The sequence below is a fragment of the Homo sapiens genome, chromosome 1 (genome assembly GCF_000001405.40).
Source record: "Homo sapiens chromosome 1, GRCh38.p14 Primary Assembly".
NCBI lineage: Eukaryota > Metazoa > Chordata > Mammalia > Primates > Hominidae > Homo > Homo sapiens.
In genome coordinates this window covers 1,678,619-1,696,735 of record NC_000001.11, presented here as the reverse complement: position 1 = coordinate 1,696,735, position 18,117 = coordinate 1,678,619, and the positions used below count along the sequence as shown (strand labels likewise).

General features: G+C 53.9%; 1 protein-coding gene across 2 annotated transcripts in view, besides 6 other annotated features; it reads left to right on the top strand.

Annotated features, from left to right (window-relative positions):
* Positions 3,468 to 3,547: a silencer, noted in NCBI's record as "silent region_88". NCBI's record gives its function as "represses an Ori minimal core promoter by ATAC-STARR-seq in GM12878 lymphoblastoid cells {active_cell/tissue: GM12878}" and the evidence as "EXISTENCE:reporter gene assay evidence [ECO:0000049][PMID:35858748]".
* SLC35E2B (solute carrier family 35 member E2B) overlaps positions 3,941 to 18,117 on the top strand; it is a 31,318-nt gene continuing 17,141 nt past the window's right edge. The window contains exons 1-2 of one of the 2 annotated variants that reach the window (NM_001290264.2): positions 3,941 to 4,287; positions 5,343 to 5,760. The gene's annotated coding sequence lies outside the window, so the exon portion shown is untranslated. The remainder of the gene's footprint in view (positions 4,288 to 5,342; positions 5,761 to 18,117) is intronic. The other variant, NM_001110781.3, reaches the window with a different exon arrangement.
* Positions 4,112 to 4,406: an enhancer, noted in NCBI's record as "tiled region #15043; K562 Activating DNase unmatched - State 18:Pol2". NCBI's record gives its function as "activates a minimal TATA promoter and a strong SV40 promoter by Sharpr-MPRA in K562 cells {active_cell/tissue: K562}" and the evidence as "EXISTENCE:reporter gene assay evidence [ECO:0000049][PMID:27701403]".
* Positions 4,118 to 4,277: a silencer, noted in NCBI's record as "silent region_87". NCBI's record gives its function as "represses an Ori minimal core promoter by ATAC-STARR-seq in GM12878 lymphoblastoid cells {active_cell/tissue: GM12878}" and the evidence as "EXISTENCE:reporter gene assay evidence [ECO:0000049][PMID:35858748]".
* Positions 7,756 to 8,256: an enhancer, noted in NCBI's record as "H3K4me1 hESC enhancer chr1:1619919-1620419 (GRCh37/hg19 assembly coordinates)". NCBI's record gives its function as "activates a minimal SCP1, AML or CMV promoter by ChIP-STARR-seq in primed H9 embryonic stem cells {active_cell/tissue: H9 hESC(primed)}" and the evidence as "EXISTENCE:reporter gene assay evidence [ECO:0000049][PMID:30033119]".
* Positions 9,399 to 9,556: a silencer, noted in NCBI's record as "fragment chr1:1618619-1618776 (GRCh37/hg19 assembly coordinates)". NCBI's record gives its function as "represses an EF-1alpha promoter that drives an FKBP-Casp9 reporter gene in an ReSE screen in phorbol 12-myristate 13-acetate-treated (for megakaryocytic differentiation) K562 erythroleukemia cells {active_cell/tissue: K562(+PMA)}" and the evidence as "EXISTENCE:reporter gene assay evidence [ECO:0000049][PMID:32094911]".
* Positions 16,132 to 16,426: a silencer, noted in NCBI's record as "tiled region #10763; HepG2 Repressive DNase matched - State 7:EnhWF, and K562 Repressive non-DNase unmatched - State 8:EnhW". NCBI's record gives its function as "represses a minimal TATA promoter and a strong SV40 promoter by Sharpr-MPRA in HepG2 and K562 cells {active_cell/tissue: HepG2 | K562}" and the evidence as "EXISTENCE:reporter gene assay evidence [ECO:0000049][PMID:27701403]".

Here is an 18,117-nt window from a genome sequence, read left to right as displayed (position 1 = left end):
GCCCAGGAAAGCATGAGCGGCCCTGACATGTATGGAGGGTCCAAAGGCTGCGGGAACTTGCCCGTGAGTGACCTTGGCCTGGAGAACTCCCCGGCCTCAGTTTCCCCACCTGCTGATGAGGACAAATTGCAGGGGCATGAGCGGCTGCTGCTCCCCTACCTCTGCGCAGGTGGCCGAGTGGCCTGCAGGCTGGGTCTCCAGGTGGGGACCCTTCCCTCTTCCTCCCCACCCACTCTATCCCCTTCCGGCGTCATGTGGATAGAAATTCATTAATATGCACAACAAATGACTACATGCAAGCAGGAAAACATTTGCAATAATACAGCAGGTCGATGTTCTCAACTAGCAAAACAGATGCAATAATACAATTCGTGGATGTTCTCAATACAGACAAAGCTCATATAATCGACACAAAACATTCACAGAAAAATTGTCAAAGGGCAGAAACCGATGACTCAAGGAAGAATATAAATAGCTAAGAAGTAAATGATCAATAATCAAACTAGAACATAATCAAAGAACTTTAAAATTAAAATTATTAATACACTCCTCCCAGGCAAAATAGCAAAGAGAGGGGACATGGTGGCTCACACCTGTAATCCCAACACTTTGGGAGGACGAGGTGGGAGGTCCTTCTGGGGAGAGGAAGAGAGGAAAGCACACAGGCTTCCAGACACTATTCCAAAATCATTAATACGCACACCCCAGGCCCAGCACGGTGACAGCCACCTGCAGACCCAGCTACTCGGGAGGCTGAGGCCAGAGAGCCCTGAGTTTGAGCCCAGCCTGGGCAAAGTAGCGAGATCCCCCATCTCAAAAATAAAATAAAATGCATGGTTCCTCATGAAATGTAAGGCTTTGCTATAAAAACTTTGAGAGGCCAGGCGTGGTGGCTCACACCTGTAATCCCAGCACTTTGGGAGGCCAAGGTGGGTGGATCATGAGGTCAGGAGTTCAAGAGCATCCTGGCTAACAACGGTGAAACCCCGTCTCTACTAAAAATACAAAACAATTAGCTGGGCATGGTGGCGGGTGCCTGTGATCCCAACTCCTCGGGAGGCTGAGGCAGAAGAATCTCTTGAACCTGGGAGGTGGAGCTTGCAGTGAGCCGAGATCGCGCCACTGCACTCCAGCCTGGGCGACAGAGTGAGACTCCGTCTCAAAAAAAAATAAAGGCCGGGCGTGGGGTAGCTCACGCCTGTAATCCCAGCACTTTGGGAGGCTGAAGCGGGCAGATCACAAGGTCAGGAGATGGAGAACATCTTGGCCAACATGGTGAAACCCTGTCTCTACTAAAAATATAAAAATTAGCTGGGCGTGAGGGCACACATCTGTAATCCCAGCTACTCAGGAGGCTGAGGCAGGAGAATCACTTGAACCCGGGAGGCGGAGGTTGCAGTGAGCTGAGATCGTGCCACTGCACTCCAACCTGGGCGATGAGAGCGAAATTCCATCTCAAAAAAAAAAGGAGTACTTTTTATAAATCTGCTTTTGAAATCATTTGGATACCACAGCGGCCCTGCTGACCACAACAGCTGAGACTGTTGGGCAAATCACCAGACATTTCTGGGTTTCCTGGAAAGTAGGAGAATCTACTTTGTAAACTGCTCTCAAATTTATGAACTCCGTGTGGATAGTGAACTCAGGCAGCAGGCAGGTGGCACTCCACTGCGTTAATTTCACTTCATTTTATAATTTTCTTTCTTCCTTTTTTTTTTTTTTTTTTTTTTGACGGAGTCTCACTCTGTCGCCAGGCTGGAGTGCAGTGGCCCAATCTTGGCTCACTGCAAGCTCTGCCTCCTGAGTTCAAGTGATTCTCCTGCCTCAGCCTCCCAAGTAGCTGGGATTACAGGCACGTGCCACCATGCCCGGCTAATTTTTTTTCGTATTTTTTGTAGAGACGGGGTTTCATCGTGTTAGCCAGGATGGTCTCGATCTCCTGACCTCGTGATCCGCCCGCCTCGGCCACCCAAAGTGCTGGGATTACAGGCGCGAGCCAACGCACCCAGCCTTTTTTTTTTTTTTTTTTTTTTTTTTTTTTTTTTTGTGAGACAAGGGTCTCACTCTGTCGCCCAGGCTGGAGTGTGGTGCTGTGATTCTAGCTCACTGCAGCCTCAAGCTCCCAGGCTCAAGCCATCCTCCCACCTCAGCCTCCCGAGTGGTTGGAACCACAGACACCATCGCTGCGCTCTGACCGGCTCCCGGGGGCGCTCCGTGCCCCTCCTCCTGCCCCACTCCTCTGGGGACATCCCCACCAAAGACCCCACGGGAGGAAACAGTCCCAGCCTCTGGCCCAACCCGGCTGCGGGCGCCACGGGGAAGCCTGGGGAAGGAGGCTGCCATCAGCCTCCTGAAGCTTTACGAAGGTTCATGCAACGGAAACAAAAACAAGTGGAAGTTTAACAAAACGTAAAAGTAATATTTATTTATTTATTTATTTATGAGATGAAGTCTCCCACTGTCGCCCAGGTCGGAGAGCAGCGGCGCTATCTCGCCTCACTGCAACCTTCAACTCCAAGGTTCAAGCGATTCTCCTGCCTCAACCTCCCGAGTAGCGGGGACCACAGGCACGCGCCACGAGACCCGGGTAATTTTTTTTTGTATTTTTAGTAGAGATGGGGGGGGGTTCACTATGTTGGCCAGGCTGGTCTCGAACTCCTGACCTCAGGCGATCCGCCCGCCTCAGCCTCTCAAAATGCTGGGATTACAGACGTGAGCCACCTCGCCCGGCCAAAAGTAATCTTTTCTTTTTTCTTTTGACAGGGAGTCTCGCTCTGTCGCCAGGCTGGAGTGCAGTGGCGCCATCTCGGCTCACTGCAACCTCCGCCTCCCGGGTTCAGGTGATCCTCCTTCCTCAGCCTCCGGAGTAGCTGGGATTACAGGCGCCCGCCACCACGCCCGGCCAATTTTTGTATTTTTAGTAGAGACGACGTTTTACCACGTTGGCCATACCAGGCTGGTCTCAAGCTCCTGACCTCGTGATGCGCCGGCCTCGGCCTCCCAAAGTGTTGAGATTACAGGCGTGAGCCACCGGGCCCGGCCCAAAAGTAATCTCTAAAGAGCCCTTTAGCCGTAACTTCATTCCTGAAAATTATTTGGGAAAGTAACGCTAGGAAAACGCTCGACGAAGCTCCGGAGCCGGGGGTCCTCGGGGCCGCAGGCGCGCCCGCGGGTGTCTGCTCCGGATGTCCCGCGGCAGCCCCGACGCCAGCCTGGATACGAAGGCCCCGCCCCGGAGCGCGCCACCAGCCAATCAGCGCCCTGAGGCGAGTCCTCACCCCGCGCGGCGGCCCCGCCCCCCGCAGCTCCGGGCCCAGCTGTCAGAGCAGCTTTCCCTCAGGCTGGGCGGAGCGTGGCCACTTCCGCCAGGAGGCGCCTTTGTGTCTTCTAAGTTAAGCCTATTCAGTGGATTTCTTATTCCTGGAACCCAAACCTGGGCAGTAAACCCTCCGGGGCTTAGAGGCCGCTGCCTCCACAGACTGGCCGATCCCGCCCTGAAGTGCCGCTGGTGGAACAGCCCGGGCGGAACCGCCCGGGCGGAACCAACGGGCTGCCGCGGGGGGTGGGGCCACGGTCCCCCCCCTTCTGCCTTCAGTGGAACGGCCCCGGCGGAACCAACGGGCCACGGGGATGCACTACGCGCACCGTCGTCCTCTCCCTCTGCCTGCAGTGGAACGGCCCGGGCGGAACCAACGTGCGGCCGCCCGGAGCACTCGGCGCGCCGTGTCCCTCCCCGTGTGGCTGCACTGCAACGGCCCGGGCTGGACCACCAGGCGGCAGCGGAGAGGCACTTAAAAGCCCCGTGTTACCCTAGACCTTAAAAAAAAAAAAAAAACTGCGTGTTTCCACCCCCGTCGGCCTGCAGTGGAAGGGCCCGAGCAGAACCAACGGGGGAGGGGACGCTGAGCGCGCCGTGTTTCTCCTCCCGTCTGCCTGGAGTAGAACGGCCCGGGCGGAACCAACGGGCAGCCGCGGGGGCGTTGTGGGCCGCGGCGCGTTTCCCCGGCTCCGTGGCTCTGGGGCACTGAGGAGCGGCGCCCGCGGGGCAGCGAGGAGCCCGATGCAGGGTTCTGCGCGTCATTTCCGGTCCCGCGGGCGCCCCGTGAAGCCCACCTGGATCCGCCAGCGCTGTGCCACTCCCCAGTGCCGAGCTCCGAGCTGTCTCCGCGGCCTCGCGCCCGGCCCCTCCACCGCGCGCCTCTCAGGCCCCGCCCGCCAGCGTCCCTTTGTTGTGAAGGCGCCGGGGCCTAGCGCTATGCCTGCGGCGGAGACTGCATCAGGCTCTCGGTGGGTTCTGCGTGCGGGGTGCTCTGCTCGGTGATCGGTGCTGGGTGCTGCGTGCTCGGTGCTCGGTGCTGGGTGCTGGGTGCCGGTACTGATGCTGAGTGTGCGGGCGTCCGGGGTTTCCCTGCCCGGATTCGCTCCTGGGGGTCCTTTCCTATGGCTGGCGCTGTGCGCGGAAAACGCTGGTGGGGTTTTCCCAGCTGGCTTTAAGCGTTTTCACGTCCGGGAGTCCACGGCGACCCCCACGCCCTGAAGCCTGGGAACGCGGTGTGCGTGGCCGCAAAAAGAACAACAACAACAAAAAAACACAAAACAAAACACGCAAAAAACTAAAGCAAAACTCCCGACAGCCGAGCCCCGTTCGGTGCCTTTTCTTTTTTTTTTTCTTTAATGGAGTGAAATCTACTTTGCTCAGGAAGCCTGCAAATCACATTTTCAGGCCAAACGAGGCAGTATTTTAGAAGGGGTCGCTGAGGCAGGAGTAGGAAGGCTTTCCACTCCACTCACGCATTTTCAGTGTAGGCGAATCGTAAAACGGAGGGCAGAACGAAAATGAGCGGATCTGGGAGTGCAGGCTGCGCTTCGTCCACATCGATAACAGATGTTTCCTGGTGAAGATGTGTAGGGCGCAGCGGGTCACCTGGTCGGGGGAGGGCACAGGGCGTCCCTCCACGGGGTGCCTTTGGCGTTGGGCACTTGTGTGGTCTCCAGCTTCCGGGTTTTGGAAGCGGAGTGTCCCCTGCAGCCTGAGCCTCTTGCAGGTGGTTTCCTTGGGACGAACTCCCAGGGGGAGGTCTGAGTTCTGGGGCATGGTTTGAAGATTTGGGACACATTTTGCCTGAAATTCCCTGCTGGCCGTTTGAACCCACCTGGACTTCCTGACCAGGGGCACGGATTCTTAACCTCTGGTGCAGGGGCCTGGCTAGGAGAGGTCTGCACAGTTGGACGAGGTGCAAAGTGACGCTTTGTCAGTAACCCGGCGTTGAGATTCCTGTGGTGGGACGAGCAGCTCCTATGGCTTTATCCCATTTTAAATCCAAGTTTTCTTTTCCTTCTAGTCCTCGGGCTCCACCCGGGGAGCTGTGCCCAGACAGCAGAAGGGAAGGATGTCACTTCTGAGATGAGGTTCAGAAAGGTCTGGGCTCCTGTCCTGGCTGCTCTCTCCCACTCCCTGATGAGCTTGCTGGATGAAAGCTCCTGTCAGGCTGTGGGGCGTCCTGTGGAGAAGCTGGCAAGAAACTGGTGGGGGCCCTTTCCACCTATAGCCAGCAAGGAACTGAACCCAGCCAGCGTCCACCTGAGTGAGCTCAGAGGTGGGCCTCAGCCCCAGTTGAGCCTTCGGATGAGGTCACAGCCCTGGTCCATGGTGTGACTGCAGCTTCAGGAGGGACCTTAAGCCAGAGGTGCCTGGCTAAGCTTCCCGCAGATTGCTGCCCCACAGGAGCCAACATCAAAAGCATTTGTTGTTTTGAGGTGGTAAGTGTGGAATGACTGTTACAGGGCAGTAGAGAAGGAGCATGCACCCTTCCTGCTTCTTATTTGCCTTTTAGAAATTGTCCTCTGTGAATCGCTTGAACCTGGGAGGTTGAGGTTGCAGTGAGCTGATATCTCACCACTGCACTCCAGCCTGGGCGACAGGAGCGAAACTCCTTCTCCAAAAACATAAATTCTTCTCTGTGAAATATGTTGTTTTGTTTTTTTTTTTTCTTTACTTTTTGAGACGGAGTCTTGCTGTGTCACCCAGGCTGGAGCAGGCGCAGTCTCAGCTCACTGCAACCTCCGCCTCCCAGGTTCAAGTGATTCTGCTGCCTCAGCCTCCTGCGTGGCTGGGATTACAGGCGCCTGCCACCACGCCTGGCTAATTTTTGTATTTTTGGTAGAGACGGAGTTTCATCATGTTGGCCAGGCTGGTCTCGAACTCCTGACCTCAGGTGATCTGCCCGCCTTGGCCTCCCAAAGTGCTGGGATTACAAGCATGAGCCACCATGCCCCGCCAACATTTTTTTTTTTTTGCCTGTTTTTCTACTTGGTTTGTAGGAATTCTTTATACTTTCTGGATATTAATCCTTTGCCATGTTGCAAGTATTTTTTCCCAGGTTGTGGCTGTTGATTTCACTTTATGGTATGTATATATATATATATATTTTTTTTTGTTTCTTTTTTTTTTTTTTGAGACAGAGTTTTGTTCTTATTGCCCAGGCTGTTGTGCAATGGCGCGATCTTGGCTCATCACAACCTCTGCCTCCCGTGTTCAAGTGATTCTCCTGCCTCAGCCTCCTGAGCAGCTGGGGTTAAAGGCATGTGCCACCATGCCGGCCAACTTTGTATTTTTAGTAGAGATGGGGTTTCTCCATGTTGGTCAGACTGATCTGGAACTCCCAACCTCAGGTGATCCACCCACCTCAGCCTCCCAAAGTGCTGGGATTACAGGCGTGAGCCAAGTCTGGCCTTTTTTTTTTTTTTTTGAGACAGGGTCTCACCCTGTTGCCCAGGCTGGAGTGCAGCGGCGCAGTCTGGGCTCACTGCAACCTCCCCGTCCTGGGTTCAAGCAATTCTCCTGCCTCACCCTCCCGAGTAGCTGGGATTACAGGTGCATACCACCACACCTGGTTAATTTTTGTATTTTTAGTAGAAACAGGGTTTCACCATGTTGGTCAGGCTGGTCTCGAGCTCCCGACCTCAAGTGATCCGCCCACCTTGGCCTCCCAAAGTGCTAGGATTACAGGCATGAGCCACTGCGCCCGGCCCACTTTGTGGTGTACTTTGGTGAAACAGAATTCTTCATTTAGCCAAGTTAGTCCACCTGACCCTTTTTTTAATGGGTCATGCTTTTGGGGTTTGGTTAGAGAAATTATTGTCCTACCCCAAAAAGGGTCAGGAAGACATTCTCTTATATTTTCCTGAGCATAAAGTTTTACACATTTAAGTTTATCATAAGAGCAGGCCACCTGGGTTCGAATCGTGACCCTGCTGCTGCAAAGCCGTGTCTTTCCTTCGTGTGTCTCACGTGGGTGATAACAGCACCTTCCCCAGAGGGCTATTGTGGGGATTCACCGCTGTGCAGAGAGTGCTTCGGACCCTCCAGCAGCACAGTCAGGGCTGTGTCAGTGTTACTAATTGTCGCTGTTTGTGTACTGATAATGAGATCAGAATCCAGTTTTTCTTTTTGCCTGGCAGCATGGACAACTGTCCTGGTATCATAGACTGAATAAAGTTTCCTTCTTCAGCAACTCGTGGTGCCTCCATTCTGGGTACACCAGACCTGTTTGTTTGTTTTTTTTTGAGACAGTCTCGCTCTGTCAGCCAGGTTGGAGTGTAGTGGTGCAATCTCAGCTCACTAAAGCCTCCGTCTCCCAGGTTCAAGTGATCCTCGTGCCTCAGCCTCCTGTGTAGTTGGGACTACTGGCACCCACCACCACGTCCAGCTAAGTTTTTTGTATTTTTGGTAGAGACGGGGTTTCACTGTGTTAGCCAGGATGGTCTCAATCTCCTGACCTCGTGATGCGCCCACCTCGGCCTCCCAAAGTGCTGGGATTACAGGCTTGAGCCACCGCGCCCGACCTCGAGGTCCTTATTCTTTTGCATTTGTTTACTCGCCCAGCCCTGCACCAAGGTCTCAGACTGAACTAGAAGTCCTCATGTCTTGGGAGGACGGCTGCCGCCCCCTCCCTGCGCCTCCGTCTCCTTGCAGGACGTGTTTGTCTTCTACTCATCGTGCGTGCATAGCTTTCTCTCTGATTCACACATGCTTTGTGCGTGCATAGCTTTCCCTCTGTGATTGACATGTGCCTCATAGGGCTGGATCTATCTCGAGACTACATAGCCTCTTGTTTCTAAGCTTTATTTTTTTCTGGGACAGAGTTTCGCTCTGCCGCCCAGGCTGGAGTGCAATGGCGCGATCTCCGCTCACTGCAGCCTCCACCTCCTGGGTTCAAGCGATTCTCCTGGCTCAGCCTCCTGAGTAGCTGGGATTACAGGCACGCGCCATCATGCCCGGCTAATTTTTTGTAGTAGAAATGGGGTTTGACTGTGTTGGCCAGGAGGATCTCGATGTCCTGACCTTGTGATCCGCCCACCTCAGCCTCCCAAAGTGCTGGGATGGCAGGTGTGAGCCAGCGCGCCCGGCCGTTTCTAAGCTTTTACTCAGTAGTTTTAGTCTCTTGGTGACTCGTCGTGATTGTGATGATGATCGTGATGGTGGCCAGATGGTGGCTTCTCATTCTGTCACTCTGATGATCATGGATTGACTTTGTGCTGGGAAGAAAGACTTCCCCTCCTTTGCCATTCGTTCATCAGCATGGCCTTGTGGGCTGTTGTTTTACTGGGGGTTCTGATCCTTTACTGTGTTACGTACTCTGCCTTTCAAGCCCCCTGCGCCCTCCCTCGGCCAACCCTGAGTTCATTCCTAGATCACAAACTTTCGGCGCAGCCAACATGACCGCTCCTCTGGTGTCTTTCCCACCACAGCCCGAGAGTCAGTCATTTTTCAAAGAAGCCTGGTTGGCTTTGTGGAGAATGATATATGTTATTATTATTTTTTGTTTTGTTATGTTGTGTTTTTTAGACAGTCTCGCTCTTTGCCCAGCCTGTAGTACAGTGGTGCAATCTTGGTTCCCTGCAACCTCCGCCTCCGGGTTCAAGCGATTCTCATGCCTCAGCCTCCTAAGTGGCTGGGACTACAGGCACCCGCCAGGATTAATCTTTTTTTTTTTTTTTTGAGATGGAGTCTCCCTCCATCACCCAGGCTGGAGTGCAGTGGCCCGATCTAGGCTCACTGCAACCTCCGCCTCCCGGGTTCAAGAGATTCTCCTGCCTCAGCATGCCAAGTAGCTGGGACTACAGGCGCCTGCCACCATGTCTGGCTAATTTTTTTTGTATTTTTAGTAGAGATGGGGTTTCATTATGTTGGCCAGGCTGGTCTCCTGACCTCATGATCTGCCCGTCTCGGCCTCCCAAAGTGCTGGGATTACAGGCGTGAGCCACCACGCCCGGCCTAATTTTTTGTTTTTTTAGTAGAGACTAATTTTTTGTATTTTTAGTAGAGACAGGGTTTCGCCACATTGCCCAGGCTCGTCTAGAACTCCTGAGCTCGGGTAATCCGCCTGCCTCAGCCTCCCAAAGTGCTAGGATTACAGGCGTGAGCCATTGCGCCCAGCCCCTTTAGTGGAGAATGATATTTAGAAACCAAGGTTAGGGCGCTGGGAGCGCGCTGTGCAGGTGTGACTGTCTCTGGGCAGATGTGCTGTGTTGGGGTGTGTGTGTGCGTGCGTGTCGCCCGTCCGCCCATCCGTTCAAGCCTGTGCGCTCGGGCCCGACAGCACCCTCACAGGCCGACACCGCGGGGGTCATTCCATCCATCTTCTTTCTTCTTTTTATTTATTTATTTATTTGTTTTTGAGACGGAGTCTCACTCTGTGGCCCAGGCTGGAGTGCAGTGGCACGATCTCAGCTCACTGCAAGCTCCGCCTCCTGGGTTCTCGCCCTTCTCCTGCCTCAGGCTCCTGAGTAGCTGGGAGTACAGGTGCCCGTCACCACGCCCGGCTAATTTTTTGTATTTTTAGTAGAGACAAGGTTTCACAGTGCTAGCCAGGATGATCTCGATCTCCTGACCTCATGATCCGACCCCCTTGGACTCCCAAAGTGCTGGGATTACAGGCGTGAGCCTCCGTGCCTGGCCTTTTTATTTTTTTGAGACAGAGTCTCTGTCGCCCAGGCTGGAGTGTGGTGGCATGATCTCGGCTCACTGCGACCTCCGTCTTCTAGGTTCAAGTGATTCTTCTGCCTCAGCCTCCCGAGTAGCTGGGATTACAGGCGCATGCCACTGCACCCAGCTAACTTTTGTATTTTTACTAGGGATGGGGTTTCACCATGAACTCCTGACCTCAGGTGATCCACCCGCCTCGGCCTCCCAAAGTGCTGGGATCACAGGCGTGAGTCACCGTGCCCAGCCTCTTTTTTTCATTTTTATTTTTATTTTTTCACTACAAGACTGCCCTGAAGGACTTCCTTTCGTGTTTGCATCTCGCTTCACTCACATGATGAAATCTGCCTCCCGTCATGTACAAAATATTTATGTATTTGCCCAATCCGGAATTCTAACCCATGAGTCAGCAAAAAAAAAAAAAAAAAAGAAAAAAAAAGAAAAGGGAGGCTGGGCGCAGTGGCTGATGCCTGTAAATCCCAGCACTTTGGGAGGCCGAGGCAGGCAGATCACGAGGTCAGGAGTTCGAGACCAGCCTGGCCAACATGGTGAAAACCCGTCTCTACTAAAAATACAAAATCAGCAGGGTTTGGTGGCACGTGCATGTAATCCCCACTACCCGGGAGGCTGAGGCAGGAGAATCGCTTGAACCTGGGAGGCGAAGGTTGTGGTGAGCCAAGATCGTGCCATTGCACTCCAGCCTGGGCAACAAGAGTGAAACTCCATCTAAAAATGAAATGAAAATACAAAAATTCACTGGGCGTGGTGGCGGGTGCCTGTAATCCCAGCTACTCAGGAGGCTGAGGCAGGAGAATCACTTGAACCCGGGAGGTAGAGGTTGCAGTGAGCTGAGATCGCGCCATTGCACTCCAGCCTGGGCGACAGAGCGAGACTCCGTCTCAAGAAAAGAAAAGGGAAAAAAGCATGTTTAGAACTCGGTATTTGTTTGGAGCTCCTGTGTCTGGAGCTACTTGTGTGTCTGGAGCCCTTGTGTCCATCACCTGCGTACCCACATCCAGCGTCCATGCACCCGAGTTCCCAGGGCTTGTTCTGCTTCTCCCCTCAGGGTGATTGTGTCGTTTGTTTGATCTGTGGTGTGGTTCATGCATTCGTGTTCGTGTTCCATTTCAGAGACCCTTTTCCCCTACCCTTGTTGATTTAATTATTTTTGCTTTTTAAGCAAGCGACATATTTTCATGGTTCTGAAAGTCAGACCTGGAGCCGCCCCCACCTCACTGCACTGCACTCCTGCCTGCCCTGTCACTGAAGAGTCTCCTTATTCTTGGGTATATCCTTCCTGTATTTCTTTTTCCTTTTCTTTTTTTTTTTTTTTTTTCTGAGAAAACGTTTCACTGTGTCGCCCAGGCTGGAGTGCAGTGGTGAGATCACGGTCACTGCAGGCTCATCCTCCCAGACTCAAGCAGTCCCCCCACCTCAGCTGGGCACACAGGCGCACACCACCGTGCCCAGGCCTAATTTTTGTACTTTTTTGGTAGAGATGAGGTTTCGTCATATTACCCAGGCTGGTATTGAACTCCTGGGCTCAAGCAATCCTCCTGCCTCGGTCTCCCAAAGTGCTAGGATTACAAGCATGAACCAACACACCTGGGCAAAAAATGCTCCAACTTTTTTTTTTTTTTTTGAGACGGAGTTTTTGCTCTTGTTGCCCAGGCTGGAGTGCAATGGCGCAATCTTGGCTCACTGCAACCTCCACCTCCCAGGTTCAAGTGATTCTCCTGCCTAAGCCTCCCAAGTAGCTGGGACTACAGGCATGCGCCACCACGCCCGGCTAATTTTGTATTTTTTTAGTAGAGACAGGGTTTCTTCATGTTGATCAGGCTGGTCTCGAACTCCCAACCTCAGGTGATCTGCCCGCCTTGGGCTCCCAAAGTGCTGGGATTACAGGTGGGAACCACTGCACCCGCTGGCTGTCCTGTTTTTTTTTTTTTTTTTTTTTTTTTGAGATGGAGTCTCGCTCTGTTGCCCAGGCTGGAGTGCAATGGCGCGATCTCGGCTCACTGCAAGCTCTGTCTCCCAGGTTCACGCCATTCTTCTGCCTCAGCCTGCCAAGTAGCTGGGACTGCAGGCACCCACCACCACGCCCAGCTAATTTTTGTATTTTTAGTGGAGACGGGGTTTCACCATGTAGGCCAGGATGGTCTCAATCTCCTGACCTTGTGATCCACCCGCCTCGGCCTCCCACAGTGCTGGGATGACAGGCGTGAGCCACTGTGCCCAGCCTCCTGGGATGACAGGCGTGAGCCCCCGCGCCCGGCCTCCTATTCTTAATTTCCAAGGCCCACTTGGGTTGTGGGTGGTCCCCACTTACCATGGTCTGAGTTGTGATTTTCTGACTTTATGATGGTGGGAAAGCAAACGCCTTCAGCAGAAACGCTGCCCTGAGCTCACAGCCGTCCTCTCTCTCACTTCCGGTGGGGTTGTCTGAATTTCACGAGCGGCTCAGCGCGCTTATAGCCACTCTGCATTAGGCGGCTTAGCCCAAATGTCACTGATGTGGGTGTCAGCACGCGGAGGTGGATGAGGCACATTAAGAGCCAAAGGACGGGCTGGGGGCTGTCTGTGGAGATGTCAGTGGCCTTGAAAAGACAGTGCACTGGGGCAAGCGTCTCACGACTGCTGAGTGTCTACCCTGCGGCCCACGGGTCTCCTGGGCTGTGCCCCAGACGTGAGTGGACAGCAAGCGATCCTCCCTCCTCGGCCTTCCAAAGTACTGGGGTTCTAGGTGTGGGCCACCGCCGCTGGCCAAACATGAAGGTTTGACTTACAACTTTGTGGTCTCTGGTCTGAACAGGCACCTGCACCTGGAGGACTCTGAGACCCTGTTTCCAACCATGATGTTTTGCACTTGTGCTCTGATATGAAATGTGTTTGGTCTTTGTTCCTGGTTCCTGGCACAGAAGCTCCTCGAAGCCTTGGAATTTCCTGAGTGACAGGAGTGGTTCAGATCACCCCGGAGCTTATGCTGATCACACCTGAGCTTATGCTGATGAGGCAGGGGGTGGGGCCCTGGAGAGCGGGGGTAGGGGGGACTGGTCGCCAGAACACCAGGTGACCCCAGGATTGGAGGCTGGGAGCTTTGAGCCCCACCCGCCAACCTCAGGGACGCAGCGAGCGAAGGTGGAGATTAAACGCTGTAAAAACCCGTGAATGAGAGATGAAAGAGTGGGATGGTCTTCGGATTGTGGTGCTGGGGGCAGGGGGTGGCGCCCAGAGAGGGCCTGAAACCCAGCACCTGCCCAGGCCTTGCCTGCGCGTCTCTGCGGCCGGCTGCTCCTCTGTTTTCTTTTAACGTAAGTGCTTTCTGCAGTTCTGTAGGGCAGTCCTGTCAAACTCATTGATCCTCAGGAGGGTGTCGTGGGAACCCCGATGTATAGCTGCCGGTCAGAAGCACGGCCCACAGGCTGACCAGCATCTGAGGAGGGGGCAGTCTTGTGGGATCCAGCCCTCGCCGCAGGGGACCTGGCACTCTCCCCAGGGGGACGGCTTCGGGAGGGAATTGAACCAGAGGACACACAGCTAGTGTCTGTGGAGAATTGCTCAACGTGGAAATAACCTGCATCTCCTGTGGGAAGTGTTGTGTGGGAGTGCAGAGAAACTGTGCATTCCTCACAGGACTTTATTTATTTGCTTGTTTATTTATTTGTTTGTTTTTGGAGACAGAGTCTCGCTCTGTCCCCCAGGCTGGAGTGCAATGTCTCGATGTCGGCTCACTGCGATTTCCACCTCCAGGGTTCAAGCAATTCTCCTGCCTCAACCTCTTGAGTAGGTGGGATTACAGGTGCCCACAACCACACCTGGCTAATTTTTATATTTTTAGTAGAGACGGGGTTTCACCTTGTTGGCCAGATTGGTCTCGAACTCCTGACCTCAAGTGATCCACCTGCCTCCAAAGTGCTGGGATTACAGGCGTGAGCCACCAAGCCCGGCCTCCCCCATGTAAACCTTGAACTCTCGGAACTACTTAGGAAGGACCCCGGGCTGTGATCTCTCACAACTACTTAGGGAGGACCCCGGAACCCCCTGGCTGCTCAGCTGGGTTCCAGCACCTGAAGGTGCTGTTGCTTTCCCCTGGGGCCCGTCCCCGAGATGAGAGGAGCACGTGCTGGAATTCCCTCTTTCAGGCACTTTCATGCTTTTATTTCTACACGTGGTGCTTCCCGCACAGCTGACAGCGCATGGTGGAGCCGAGTCGTGCGTTTCTGTCTGTGATTCGTCCCTCAGTCTTCCCCCGCTCCGGTGGGTTTGGGCTTGGGGTCCGTCCCTTTGACACTGGGACTGAGCCCCTCATTTCCATCGTAGCTTCAGCTCCATCAATAAGGTGTTTGTTTCTACTGTTGACAGGCACGTAGGTTGGCATTCTTTTGGTGTTTGCTTTGTCTTGTTTTGCTACTAACAAAAAATGCTCATTAAACACCCACCTCCAAGACTTCTATGAGAAGGTGTGAAGAGCCCACCCATTTTCCCGGGACCGTTTGGCCCTCTGTGACCCAAGTCAGCCTCGGCGAAGTGCTTTATTTTCTTGTTTTTTGTCGCTCCCTGTCACCCGCATGACCTCTGAAAGGTTGCACCCAGCCGGGCACGGTCACTCATGCCTGTAATCCCAGTTCTATGGGAGGCCAAGGCGGGCGAATCACATGAGGTCAGGAGATTGAGACCAACCTGGGCAACATGGTGAAACCCTGTCTCTTCTTTTTTTTTTTTTTTTTTTTTTTTTTTTTTTTTTTTTTTTTTTTTTTTTTTTGAGACAGAGTGTTGCTCTGTCGCCCAGGCTGGAGTGAGTGCAGTGGCGCGATCTCGGCTCGCTGCAAGCTCCACCTCCCGGGTTCACACCGTTCTCCTGCCTCAGCCTCCTGAGTAGCTGGGACTACAGGCGCCCGCCACCACGCCTGGCTAATTTTTTGTATTTTTAGTAGAGACAGAATTTCACAGTGTTAGTCAGGATAGTCTCCATCTCCTGACCTCGGGATCCCTCTGCCTCAGCCTCCCAAAGTGCTGGGATTACAGGCGTGAGCCACCACGCCCGGCCTAAATCCTATCTCTTCTAAAAGTACAAAAATTAGCCAGGCTTGGTGGCGCATGCCTATAATTCCAGCTGCCCGAGAGGCTGAGGCATGCGAATCCCTTGAATCCAAGAAGTGGGGGCTACGGTGAGCTGAGATTGTGCCACTGCACTCTAGCCTGGGCGACAGAGTAAGAGTCCCTCTCAAAAAAGAAAAGAAAAGAGGCCGGGCGCGGTGGCTCACGCCTGTAGTCCCAGCACTTTGGGAGGCCTAGGTGGGTGGATCACGAGGTCAGGAGATCGAGACCATCCTGGGTAACATGGTGAAACCCTGTCTCTACTAAAAAAATACAAAAAAAAACAAAATTAGCCAGGCGTGGTGGCGGGCGCCTGTAGTCCCAGCTACTTCAGAGGCTGAGGCAGGAGAATGGTGTGAACCCAGGAGGCAGAGCTTGCAGTGAGCCAAGATCATGCCATTGCACTCCAGTCTGGCTGACAGAGCGAGACTCTATCTCGAAAAAAAGAAAAGGAAAAGGAAAGAAAGGTCTCACTAGACAGTTTCAGGCCGGAATCTGTTTGCATTTGTACCGTCAGGAATTTCCAGCCTGGGAACAGTCAGTGACAGGAACGAACCGTGGGTGCCTCTGCAGGGGTGGCTCCTGCCTGGCTGCCCTTGAGTTGGCTGAGGAGCTGAGAACTTGGACTTCAGGATTCTCTGACTTCACTGGTCTGACGTGGAGCTCCCAGTGTTTGAATAAGAAGCGGCTGGGCGTGGTGGCAGGCGCCTGTAATCCCAGTTACTCGGGAGGCTGAGGCAGGAGAATCCCTTGAACCTGGGAGGTGGAGGTTGCAGTGAGCCGAGATTATGCCACTAAACTCCAGCCTGGGCGACAGATCGAGATTCCATCTAAAAAAAAAAAAAAAAGAATAAGCAGCCAGCCTCAGGCATTTACGCAGGGACAGGTGTTTACGTGGGGGGAAGATTAGATATCGCCTCCTCCTGCGGCCTTGGAGCTGTGGGGACAGGGATGCTGGGGGTGAGGACGGTTCATGGTAGTGAAGTCCTGCAGATTGGGAGGGGAATGGAGACCCCGGGACCACGTGGGCTCAACTGCAGGGACGGGACAGTCACCCACACAGAGCCGGGGCAGGGCTGTGGGAGCACAGGTCGGTGTGACGTTGGCTGGGGCTCAGCATGCGTGTCCCAGGGCTGGGCAGTTCCACTCCTGCACGTAGACACAGACGAGGATGCTCCTAGTAGCCCGTCCCAAGTGCTTCTTGCCAGAATGGGTCCATTTGTCCAGTGGGCTGCTGTGCAGTGATCGGACAGAGAACCCGCGTCCCAGCGCAGCTGCATGGAGAGGCCTTTGTTTGCAGTCGGCTTCTTGTTTAAGCTCTTTTAATTTTTTTTAACTTTTTTTTAATTTTTAGAGTCAGGGTCTTGCTCTGTTGCCCAGGCTGGAGTTCAGTGGCACAATCACGGCTCACTGCAGCCTTGACCTCTCTTGTTCAAGCAATCCTCCCACCCCAGCCTCCTAAGTAGTTAGGACTACAGACATGCACCACCATGCCCGGCTACATTAAAAAAAAATTTTTTTTTTTTGAGACGGAGTTTCACTCTTGTTGCCCAGGCTGGAGTACAACGGTGTGATCTCGGCTCACCGCAACCTCCGCCTCCCGGGTTCAAGCGATTCTCCTGCCTCAGCCTCCTGAGTAGCTGGGATTACAGGCATCCACTACGCCCGGCTAATTTTGTATTTTTAGTAGAGACGGGGTTTCTCCACGTTGGTCAGGCTGGTCTTGAACTCCTGACCTCATGATCCACCCTCCTCGGCCTCCCAAAGTGCTGGGATTACAGGTGTGAGCCATCGCGCCCAGCATTTTTTTTTTTTTTTTTTTTGACGGGAGTCTCGCTCTGTTGCTCAGGCTGGGGTGCAATGGCGCGATCTCAGCTCACTGCAAGCTCTGCCTTCCAGGTTCAAGTGATTCTCCTGCCTCAGCCTCCCGAGTAGCTGGGATTACAGGTGCCAGCCACCACACCCGGCTGATTTTTTTTTTGTACTTTTAGTAGAGACGGGGTTTTGCTGTGTTTGCCAGGCTGGTCATGAACTCCTGAGCTCAGGTGATCCGCCCACCTTGGCCTCCCAAAGTGCTGGGATTCCAGGTGTGAGCCACGGCGCCTGGCCCAGAACCTTAAGTTCTTGATGTACAGAGAACGGCAGCGTCAGTGAAGTGTGATTTCTGTTTTTTTGTTTCCACTAATTGTGAGCAAACATTAGGGTGGGGACTGGGCTGCTTGTGTGGGTCCCACAGGCTTCTTGGAGCACAGTGTCAGCAGAGAAGGGGAATGGGGGTCCTCATTGCGGGGAGCAGTTTTGCCTGGGATGCTGTGAGTTTCTCAGAGGGAAGCTAAGTGGACAGACTGTTCTGGCAAGAGGGAGATGCTTGCCTTTTGAATTCCAGGTTTGCCTCGACGTCAGGTGGGACGTGACTGGCGTCGTCTGCACACGCCCGAGCCCACGTGCTGTTCCTTGCTCCTGGAGGGGTTTCTTGAGCGTGGCCTCCTTGCCATGTAAATGAATTTGGTTTTAGAAACTCGCTGGTGGTGGCAGAGCCTGTGTAGCGGGTGCTGTGACAGCGTCCCCAGCCAGGGGGCAGCCTTCGAGGTGGGAGGGAGAGGTCAAGGGCCGTGAGGCCTAGTGAGGTGGGGAGTGAGATCCACGCCTGCCATGAGCTCCACCCCTGCCTTGCGGAGCCCTGTCGCGAGTGCTCTGTCCTTTTGCTCTGCCGCACCCTTTGTTGTTGGATTTTCACCTCAGGAAAGCCAGGTAGCTGCTCCACCCCCAGCCAGGGCCCATCAGTCCGGGAAACTGGCACAAAGTCTCCTAGCTCCCTGGCTCAGGGCCCAGCCAGTCCTAGCTCCAGGGAGGCTGCAGCCCATGGAGGTTTAGCTCCCAGCTTGTTGTCACCCCAGGCTAAGCAGTGGGACTGTGCTGCTGAACAGGAAGAAGGGAATGGTGTCTTTGTGGAGATCTGGCACTGTCAGTGGCCCGAGGAGTGGATGAGTCCTTTGTTATTCCGAGGCTGTGGGAACTGGTGGAGGGGTCGGCCT